General features: G+C 39.3%; 1 annotated feature.

Annotated features, from left to right (window-relative positions):
• Positions 10,962–11,131: an enhancer, noted in NCBI's record as "experimental_80648 CRE fragment used in MPRA reporter constructs". NCBI's record gives its function as "activates a minimal promoter by MPRAs in K562 erythroleukemia cells, with activity observed for the introgressed 5:103922247 variant allele {active_cell/tissue: K562}" and the evidence as "EXISTENCE:reporter gene assay evidence [ECO:0000049][PMID:34662402]".

The following is an 11,549-nucleotide window of genomic DNA, read 5'->3' as shown; positions in this document are numbered from 1 at the left end:
TCTTCTTCCTAACATATTGGATGGATGGAATGGGCAGAGGTTGACTAGGAGGAGCTAGTCCAATAGAGGGAGAAAGATAAACTAGGGTATAGGTTGCAGCCCAGATGGTGGGGAGACAAAGATATGTGTTGGTGCCACACAAAAAGAATAAACCTTTGTCATGAATACAGACAGAGATATGGAAAGAAAACAGGTGAATTAAAAATGAGGTGTTTTTTCTTTCCTGTGGTTCATTACTCCAGGTGAACAAGGAGGAGGTTAGGGAGGCACCCACTATAGCAGAGATATAGGAAGAGTTATTTTTCACACATTTAATGTGATCGGATGTTGTACCACTGATATTGAGCTATGTAAAGGTGGGCACTAGGGACAGCATAAGTTAGGCCAGAGGCATCAGTTGAGGGAGATGCTGTAAAATAAGGTGGTTGCAGAAATGCTCTGTTTGCTTCAGGTGATACTTGATAGTCAACTCAGTTAATTTTGACGATCAGAGCGGTGTTTAACAATGATAGTATGGTTGCATTGGTTGAGTGTTAAGGACCCTACAGGGAAATTTCCCTCAGAGGCTGAAAAGCAAAGTGAGGCTTGTTGTAAACGAGGGATGTGTTTAGTTATGAGCCTTTCAATAGGAGGGCCGTGGGGCTTGAGGAGTTGTAATAGGTTTGAAATAATTTGTTGGCCTGATTGGCCCTGGAAGTAGGATAATCACCCACCAGAGTGTCAGCTCTTTCCAAAAAGGAAGCTTCTTTTCTGGAGTTTATAGATTAGGATTATGTTTCCTGTTAAAAGGTAATAAAGGGGTGTAGGAAATGCTGTGAAAGCTGAGGAAGACAGCGATAACACATCCAGTCTTCTGGAGCAAAGGAAGAGTTAGCTTGCTGCACAAGGGATCATGTAAGGTTTATAGAGCATTCCAGTTTGAGAGCAGTGAGGAGTGGTTGTATTGGTGAGGTCAATGTGATTAGAGAATTTATATTGAAAGAAACAAGCAAAAATAGAAAAAGTTATTTGGGTAGGAGTACAGTCCTGGAAAGTTCCTTGAAGCCGTAAGTCCCATGGAATATAGTAAGGAGTTGATCAGAATGTATAATGGGAGTTTTGTAAGGGTACCACTGAAGGTCTGTAACAAGGATGTTTAGGAAGCAATGAAAGTTTGGGAAAGAAAGAGACATAAGCTTCTTAGGTGAATTTCTCTTCCTTTTCCTCTGGGATTCGAGTGAGATGAAGGGAAATGAGTCCTGTGAAGACATAAGAGAAGGCTGAAAGTGTTTTAGATTTGGTTGTTTGGGTGTTTGGTGAAGGGAAGTCTGTTTCCTTGAGAGAAGTATAATGATAGCAGTTGAGGAGTCCCTGGAGTTTTGGTACCCTGGGTGTAGTAAGGATGATCTGGTAAGGCCACTTCCATTTAAGTGTGTGGGGGGGAATTTGAGGTAAGATTAGGATCTTTAACCAGAACCCAGTCTCTTGGCTGTAGGAAGGGATTAGAGGAGTCAGCAACAGGTTGTGGCAGGTATTTGTCAGCATATTCCCAAATGAGATGGCAGATGGTATGTAGAAGAGGGGAAACAAGAGGGGTTGGTAGAGGCGGGGCTTGACCCTGAGGTGGAACAAAAGGGGCAAGTGGTCTCCCATACATGAGTTCAAAGGAGCTGAGCAAGGTTTACATGGCAATGACTGAATTTTTAGAAGGGTCAAATGTAAAAGTGTAACCCAGTCTTTGTGTCTGGAGTGAGTGCCTGGTGAGGGTGTTTTTCAGAATGCCATTCATTTTTTCACCTTTTCCCAAAGATTGAGGTCGATAGGAGATGTGTAGCTTCCAGATGATTTGTAGGAATTGTGCAAGTGGGTGAGTAATTTGAGAAACTAATTCAGGATCATTATTAAATTGAGAAGTAAGAGGCATCCCGTACCCACGGATGATTTCTGTTATTAATTTGGAGGTAACAGTAGAAGCTTGTTTGTTGGTTGTGGGAAAAGCCTCGACCCATCCTGAAAAGGTGTCAACCAGAACCAAAAGAAATCAAACCTTTTTTACTTGTGGCATATGGGTAAAATAAATTTGCCAGTCCTGTCCTGAAAGATGTCCCCTGGCTTGATGGGTTGGGAAAGAAGGGGGTCTAGTGTTGGACTGGGGTGAAGCTTTCTGGCAAATAGAGCATTAATGGGAAACGGTTTTTAACTATTCCTTTATATCTGGGGTTATGTGTATGTGTGAACTTATGAATCGGTGAGGGGAATGGCTAGTGTGGAAGAGGTTATGGATGTCCCATAAAAGAGTTGTTTTTTTCAGGGTCAGGTGAGACTAATTTGTTTTGTATGAATGAGTACAAGGGGTTTGAATTGTGCTCCTGCCACAATTCGTTGTTGTATTTGGTGTTCTGGATAAAAGGAGGGGATATGTTGTGTGAAGGGAAATAGATATTGGGGAATTGGATGATTGGTTGAGGCGTGTTTTGCCCAATAGTCAGCCTCATGGCTCCCTAAAGAAATGTGGCCTTTATCTGATTGATGTCCTTTGCAAAGGATAACTGCAGACTTTTCTGGAAGTAGTATTGCCTTTAGTAGATGATGGATTAGTTTTCCATTAATAATAGGAGTTTCCTTAGCCCTGAGATAGCCCTGCTCACTCCAGATCTGAGCATTAGAATGGATGATGTTACAGGCATATTTAGAATCGGTGTATATATTAACTTGTGTGTTTTGCGCTAGTGCTCTTATTAGGGCAATTAACTCTGCTTGTTGGGAGGATGTGCCCAAAGGCAAGAGGGCAGCCTCTACAACTCTTCTAGGTGGGAGAGAGTGGGTATCATCATAATATCTCTCAATGATGGCATATCCTGCTTGGAGGGGAGGGTTTTTTGATGCGCTACCATCTATAAACAAATCGGGGGCTCCCTTTATGTGAGTGGAAGTAATGTGGTGAAACATGGTGCAAGAACTGTGAATTGGATCAGAACACGAGTGTTTGTCAGGGTCCAAAATCTGTGTTGAAGGTAAAAGAGTAGCAGGATTTTGGAAGAGGAGCATCTATGAAGAGAGATAGGGGCCTGAAGGAGAGTTGAATGTAAGGCTTGTATGTGAGAGGACAAGATGGAAGTGAGTGCCTTATGGCTGAGCATATCTTGTAGACTATGAAAAGAAAATAACTGAAGGGGTCCATAGAAAGTGAGATTTTGTGCCTCAGGGATAATTAAAGAGGGTATGGCAAACATTTTTAAGCAAAGGGGCCAGTTTTTGTAAATGGGGTCTAGTTGTTTTGAAAAATATGCCACTGGTTGAAGGGAATCTCCCATGGGTTGGGCTAATAGTCCAAGGGCCTGATTATCAAAACTGTGTAAATATAGATGAAAAGGTCTTAGGGGGATTGGAAGGCCTAAAGGGGGGGACTGTAATAAGGCACATTTTAGGTGAGAGAAAGCATGATAAAGGTCTCGGTGGGAGTGAGTGGTTGGTCAAGATTTCCTTTTGTGTGTTCATAAGGAGGTTTAGAGATGATGGCAATATTTGCTATTCATAATTGGAAATATCCCTCTAATCCAAAGAAAGAAAGTAAGTCCCTTTTTGTTTTAGGAAATGGGATTTGTTGAATGCCTTGCTTTAATGCTGGTGAATTTTCTCTGGTGTTTGGAGTTATGATTAATCATACATATGAAACTTTTGGAGAGGTTAATTGGGCCTTCTTTTTGGATACCTGGTAGCCAAAAAAATTAAAAGCCTGGTGGTGCGTTGAAGACAATGTTCTAAAGAGGGGCTGCAAAGAAGTAAATTGTCCACATATTGAAGCAAAACGCTAGGTTGTAGAGATAGTTGGGAAAGGTCCAACTGAAGTGCCTGACCAAAATAGTAAGGGCTGCTCCTAAACCCCTGGGGGAGGACAGTCCAGGTGAATTATTGGGAATAGCCTATGTCAGGGTCAGTCCAGGTGAAAGCAAAAAGTTTTTGAGAGGAGGGATGTAGATGGATAGTAAAAAAGGCATGTTTGAGGTCTAATAGAGAGAAATGGCTAGTGTTGGGAGGAATTCATGATAGGAGGGTGTAGGACTTTGGGACAACCAGACAAACAGGAAAAATAGTGGAGTTGATTTGTCGTAAATCCCAGTCTATAGGACCCATCCAGTTTTTTTAATTGGGAGAATAGGAGTATTTCTGGGGAGAATGGTGGGGATTAAAATACTGGCAGCCAAAAGTCGGGAGATGATGGGCTTGAGTCCCTATAATCCATTAGGGTTGAGGGGATATTGTGGGACTGCTATACAGCATTTAGGATCTTTCAGTGAAATTTGAATTGGAGAATGGTGGGTAGCTACCATGGGGGAGTTGGTGTTCCACACTATGGGATTTACTTGGCTGAGTTATTTGGGACTTAAGTCTTTTTGATGCCAAGTGTCTGAGGAAGGGTCCTGTTCTTGAAATAATAAAAAATAAGGGTGGCTTTGTTGTAAGGCCAATAAATGAATGATTCTTCCCAGTTTGTGTAGGATGCCCTTTCCTAGTAAAGGAATAGGACAATGAGGAGTGACCAAGAAAGACTGAAGGAAGGTTACTCTGAAATGAGCAGTACAGAGGTGGTGTTTTGTATGGGGATTCTTGTATACCTTTCATGCCAACAACAGAAATGGATGAACATTCTAATAGGCCTTGATATTCAGTTAATACAGATAGACTCACCCTAGTATCCAAAAGAGAGGAAATAATCTTACCAGATACCTTCCCAATTACTCTGGGTTCCATGGACTGAGTAGATGTGGGAGTGAAAGATCCCAGGCACCCTCAGTCATCAGCTGTCAGCAACAGCGGTGAAGAGGTTTCCTCCTGTGATGGTCAGGGGGCTTCATTATGAGCTGCACCCAAATGCGGAAGGTGTCCCTGTTGGGGGCAGTCTATCTTCCAGGGTCCCCAAAGACCACAAGTTGGACATGGTTTGGTGGGGGACCATCAGAGACAAACTCCCGAAGAGGTCTGGGACTTTCCCTTTGGGTTACTGGGAGGTTTTTGTGCAACTGACTTTTGGACAGCAGAGGCAAGCATCTGGTATTTTACATGGAGATGTTTGTCTTTTTAAATTTTTTGTTCCTCATCTCTGCTGTTAAAGACATGGAAGGCCACATTTAGGAGGTCCCACTGAGATGTCTGGGGACCCTCCTTTAACTTTTACAACTTTTTCTGGATATCTAGGGCAGATTAGGAAATAAATTGGAGGTGTAGAAAAGGGTGACCGTCTCTAGATTCTGGGTCTGAATTGGTATATTTTAACATAGCTTCGGTGAGGCATTATAAGAAAAGGGCAGGATTTTCTAGAACTCTTGTGTAATTTCTCTGAGTTTTTCATAATTAAATGCCTTATAGGTGTTTTTGTCCATGCCTTTGAGGACAGGTACTCTGTGGTCTCTTTGCCTGATGCCATTGTCTCCCTGTTGGTAAGTCCAATCTGGGTCTCTATGGGGGACTGCATCATTGGCCACTGGATTTTGTATAGGGGCTTGATTATGGAGTTCATCTGCGTGTGTTTCAGCTGAATGTCAGATGCACTAGTTTTCATCAGGAGTGAGGGTGGAGTTAGAATTATGTAAATGTCATGCCAAGTTAAATTAAAGGATTGGGTTATGTGCAGGAATTCCTTGCCATGGCAAGAGGGATTTTCAGAGAAAGATCCCAGGCGTTGTTTGATTTGTGACAAATCAGACATGGAGAAAGGGACATGGATGTGAGCAGTGCCTTCAACCCCAGCCACTTCCCAGGAAAGTAGAATGGCAGAAGTGATTTGTCTGGTTGGAGCAGTGTTTGAAAGGGTAGCAGGTGGAGAAGGAGGAGGGGCAGGGTTTGGGGCTAAAGGCTTGGAAGCAGGAGGGGCCACAGGGATGGAGGGTTCAGACAGTCAAGGAATGGATACAGGGGGTTGAGACTACAGAGGTGGTTCATCTGCAGAATCGAAAGGGGCTTCAGAGGAAGGGGTTTTGGAAAAAACAGAGGTTTGGGGAGGGTTTTCATTAAGAAGAAGGATTTCATGAGGGGTGCAAGCTTGACATAGGGAGGGTTGGGATTTAAGGTAGAAGAAAGCCTTAATATAGGAAACCTCTTGCCATTTGCCATTCCTGGTTATAAAGTTGTCAAGATCCCTGAGACTTTGAAAGTCAAAGGTGCTGTTTTTCAGGCCATCAGCTGTCATTATCTAATTTGTATTGGGGCCAGGCCATATTGCAATAAAAAACTAAATGCTTTGGCTTAGGCTCCACTGTAAGCCCAGTTTGGAGAGGTTATGAAGGAGGCAGCCCAGTGGGGAGGACCTAGGAATGTGGGATTGTTTGGCACCCATGTGGACTGGTAAGAAGAGGCCAAGGGTGTCTGTTTTTGTTCTAGGTGTCCCTAGACAAAAAACAAAGACCTGTAATCCTCTTCATAAAGAGGATGGTTAAGCTGAGAAGAAACTGGGCATCCCCAAGATTTCTTCTAACGTACTCCCATTGGTCCTCTGAGGACTGGGATGGCAGACTTGACTTTCCTGGGCACCATGAAAAAACCAGGGGAGGCAAATCTTACCAGGCAGCTGGATTAGTGTCCAATGTTGGATGTTCGGGTTGAAATTGGCAAAGGGCCTCCCAGGCTGGAGTACAATGGCACAATCGCAGCTCACTGCCTCCCAGGTTCAAGCAATTCTCCTGCCTCAGCCTCCCAAGCAAGTGGGATTACAGGCATGTGCCACTACGCTTAGCCAAATTTTTTGTATTATTAGTAGAGACAGGGCTTCACCATGCCAGCCAGGCTGGTCTCGAACTCCTGACCTCAGATGATCCACCTGCCTCGGCCTCCCAAAGTGCTGTGATTACAGGTGTGAGCCACTACGCCCTGCCTCATGTGTTTTCTTTATAATTTGTCTTATTTAGTTACATTAGGTCACAACATCTTTGCATATCAACACATACAAATTATTACCTTATTTGTATTTGACTGGCTTTATTCAATTTCATGTATGTCTCTATTGTTAGATATTTAGTAACTTTTCCCCCAAATATAGTGAAAAACAGTAATATAATGAACATGATGTATATCTTTTTCAACTTATCACATTACAAGAAATTTCTTAAGATGAACACTTAAATGTGTCCCAAGCTGTCATCCTTCTCTTACCTACATTATTTTTCAACCCAGTAGATCATCTCTGTCTTCTGCCAAAATTCTCCATTGGTTCTCCATTTTACCCAGAGTAGAAGCCTTAATATTTAGTTTCATGAAATGTCTAGCACAATCTCCGGTGAGGAATACATCGTCTTCAGAGTTGTTGCCTGGAACACTTTCCCCTGTGATATAGCATAAGTGATGTCTTCATTTACTTATGTCTTTTCTCAGTGCCACTTTATCTGAGAGACTTTACCTGACTAGAAGTGTTCTCCTTGCCCAGTTGTTTTTATTTTCATATGCCCCTACCTAGTATGTTATGTTTTTATTTTCTTCTCATTTGTCTCTCACAGGAATATAATCTGAGGTAATGTGTCTGTTTTGTTTACAGCCATATCCTTGCACACAAAACATGACCCAGCACATGAACAAAAGGATGAACAAATTAAAGAAATGGTAGGTTGGAATCAACTTGCCAAGTTCATTGGGTATCATTTAAGGAATTTGTACAGGTAGTAAACTACACACATTGAAGTGACTTAGAGGTTTAATTTTATTTAAAAGATAGATAATAACACAAACAGTTATTCATTAATTCACTCAACAAATATTGATTGAAGGCTTACCATATGCCAAGCCAGGTGCTTGGTACCAAGCACACTAAAATGAGCATGACTGGCACAGTCCTTGCCAGGACTTTCACTTTAATGGGGAAGAGTTCAGTTGTGGTTTTAGAAAAATCACTGGTGATGGTAGAGGATCATCTGGATGTAGGGGCACCATTCCAGAGCCTTTTGTACTGGGAGTCTAGGTTAGGCCAATAGCAAGAAATATAGAGATAAAGGAGTATCAGAAGAACATTTTTTTTAACTTAACACCAGTTAATAAACAAAGATAATTGCTTTGAGTAAATTAGCTCATTATCTTGAACACGCCCTAATGAAGGGTAGAGGAAACCTATATTGATTCGGGTCCTTGACAGTTTAATTCAAGGCTAGTTAGTGAAAACATCAGCAGCTTGTAGATTCCTTATGTCAAACTCTGCTAGTTTTATTTATCATTGACTAAGGAAAAAAGGTGTGTTGTTTCTGAGATGCTCTGGGCAGACGGTATAGATGATGAGGCTCACCATCTGTGTGTCTCCCTTAAAGTCCACGTTGACTGAATTGTGGACCATGACAACCACAAGTTTGTATCATCCATCCCCAAAGTCAGCCCCTGATGCCTGTATGGATTTCTTAATCTCACCATCTGCATTTTCCTCTATAGTATATTTTGTCTTGCTATTACTATAATATGTATCTTGCAATCATTACACATAACCTTCTATAATCCCATTGTTCTGGTTTTCATAAAGTGAGATTCTGGCCTGAATACTCCTATGCTGTTGCCCATCTACTTACTACTCCTCATGATGGAGAACCTAAACAGGTGTTAAAAGTTAATTTCTGAGTTGCGTTTCATGTATATTGCAAGGCAGTAAATTTAGGATACTCAGTCTCTCACTTCCCTCTCTTCACACCGTGATGTTGGTAACCTGCTGGTTAAATGGGTATGTGCTAATACTCAAATTAATCCTAAGGTAAGATATTTTAAGGCCTAGGCACATGGGCTAGGAGGGGTTAGTATGAATAGTCAGTTCTTATATTAAGCCTCTTCTTCAATATTAACTTTATCAGTAAAATTAAATAATTTTAAAAAAACTTCTATCTGACTAATTCTTAATGTTTTACAAATGGCAGAGAATTCATGCAAAAAAAAAAAATCAAGAACTTATTTGCTGATGGCCTCAAACTTCGATCCTAGCCATACTAATACATAGAATTCCCTAGTCCTGAATTAGGATGGGAATCATCTAGTAAAGGCTGATGTCTCCAGTAGATAAAAAAAATCCTACATTTTACATATATCTTTTATTCCTACCAGTTCACATTATTTCTATTGCCATATAGACAGTTCGTTTTTCTTTTCTTCGTTGCTGTCATTATCATTGCTTCCCCTCACTCACTCATCCAATTCATCCTCCATATAACATGGAGGGGCAGTGTTTAATACGAAAACTGTGCTAGTGAAGAAGTCAAGTGTCTACAGAGAGGTAGTGGCAGTGTTTCTAAGGGGTGTAATAATTTCACCCAGATTTTACAAACGGGTCTTTGAACCCAATTTTTCAAAATTTCATGGACAGTTGAAATCATCATAATATTGAAGTTGCATAATTGTTGTTGAGATTAATAAGTTAATTTAAAAAATGAGACTCATCTTTTGGTCTCAATGGAGAAGAAAGAAAGGGTAAAATATTAATAGAGTCTTCGTCTTTGCAAGGCACTATATTTTAGTATTTTACAGAACTTAAATAACATAATCTATACTATGTGTGTTATAGCATTTTAGTTCATTAATTTTCTTATTCTTGACTTCCAAGTGGGACTTATAAGTGGCTTATATTAATGAATGCTATAAAGCAAGAGCAAAACAAATAAATGAAGAAAAAATATAAAGATAAATAATTTAGAGTAATATTTTCAGCTAGTACTTAATAATACATAATAGGAGTTCAGACTATTGGGTAGTTGGGCTGACAATTTGGCTTTGAGCTGCTTAGCAGCCAAATCAAAGTGTGGGATAAGTTTAGTTACACAATTTGGTTTCTATTAACAAAAAATAAAGAAAAGAAAGTTAACAAGAAATACTACAGCTTTCCCTGGCACTGAGAACAGAAAAAAAATTTCCTCATGGATCATGTTAAGATATGAAAGCATTTTTTAAAATTCCCAACACACAGAGAAAAAAATAAAATTCATATATTGTCATGAACTTGTGGAGGTAACAGAAAGTTTGACATGAAGCTGTTATCTAAGTTTCACAGATTTCAAAAGGTATGTAATTTCCACTGTGCTATGTATGTGGTCAAATTTCCTGATCAGGCAGGAATTAAAACTAAATAAATAAACCTATTTCAGTTAAGTTTCACACTTAAAGCTACTGCCTGAACCAACAGCCTGAATAAGTGATTCCATGTTGTGTGCACCCCTATTAAATACTAGTCTATGGAGATGTATGTCCTGCTTCAATCCTGGCATTCTCAGATAATTAAAGGAGTTTGGCTCCCAAGAGAATTATGAAGGAATTGGAAAAATCTGCTGATAAGAAAAAGTTTAAAAGATGTAAGTACATGAAGCCCAGCAGTTTTGCAATGACTAAGTCAGGGCAAGACTAAGTCTTTGGAAATATTAGAAGGTGCAATTAAAAAAAAAGAAAGTGAGAAGGGATGATTTTTCATATCTGAAGATCACAACTGAAAAAGCAGGACAAATTGTCAAAAAAGTATTTTTGTTACTTTTTGAATTACTTTAAAAATTCCTTTTTAAGTAGATTTTGAATGAGGAAAACATTTGTTGCAAATACTGTACAAAGTGGTAAATTTTTGCTTTGGCAGGTACAGATTTGAAACAAAAGAAACAGAATGTATACGTTTAAGTTTTTAACTTAAATCGAAATTAAATAATGTTTAATTGATTTAAGAAAATTAAAAATATATATATTCTTCAAAATAAAAATTATTACATACAACTAAACATTATGCTGTGTCATTTTGTTGTATCATCCCAAATTCACACATACAGTGTGTCATACCAATTTATTCATTGTGAGAAAGACATAGTTACAGTGTGAATAAAGCATGCTCTCTTCACTGTAATTAATAATTATGGGACTACTGAGACCCTTCATGTCTCTTCTTCTAAAATGTGGTTCTCTTACAGTTTATTAGGTAACCCAAAGAAGAGAAGGCAAAAGGGACATATGACGTATGATCTAGCAGGAATAAAAGACTGTCTTTTACTCCAGCTTTCTCTCTGGCCAAAAAAATAATGTCAATATCTTTTCAGTTCCAATTATTATTTCTTTTGGAAAGGAAAAAGGTGCAGGTAAAATGAAGCAATATAAAATAGTTGTAGGCAGTCAAAATGAAATAATAAAATGATGACAGGAAGATAAGAAATTTCAATTGTTTCAGAAGAAGAAAATGCTTGACTTTCTGGAAAGACAGAAAAGGAAATCCTCAATTAAATTAAAACCCCTCACCTTAATAATGGTGACAGCTTTATCCTTTTATCAAACAAACACAAGAAACATATTTTACCTGCTTTCCCAGTAATGGTTCTGGTTTCCTGATATTCAGAGCTTTAAGTGTCAAGTTGTGGTTTTGTGATGCAAATTTACTGTAATCCTAGGTTTTCTTTTTACTATACCACACTGTGAATTACAAAGTTTCTATGAAATAATTATTAACTAAAGCATTTAAAATAGATAGACCATGCATAAAAGAGGAAATATTCATTTTATTTATTTCTTTATGGTTTGTAAAATGGGGTCTAGATGACCTTTATTTTTAGTAATACCAAATATAAATAATGTATAGGTTATTGACATTTAAC

The sequence above is a fragment of the Homo sapiens genome, chromosome 5, assembly GCF_000001405.40.
Source record: "Homo sapiens chromosome 5, GRCh38.p14 Primary Assembly".
Lineage (NCBI taxonomy): Eukaryota > Metazoa > Chordata > Mammalia > Primates > Hominidae > Homo > Homo sapiens.
The sequence above is the reverse complement of the archived record's forward strand: the minus strand, read 5'-3'. Positions and strand labels throughout refer to the sequence as shown.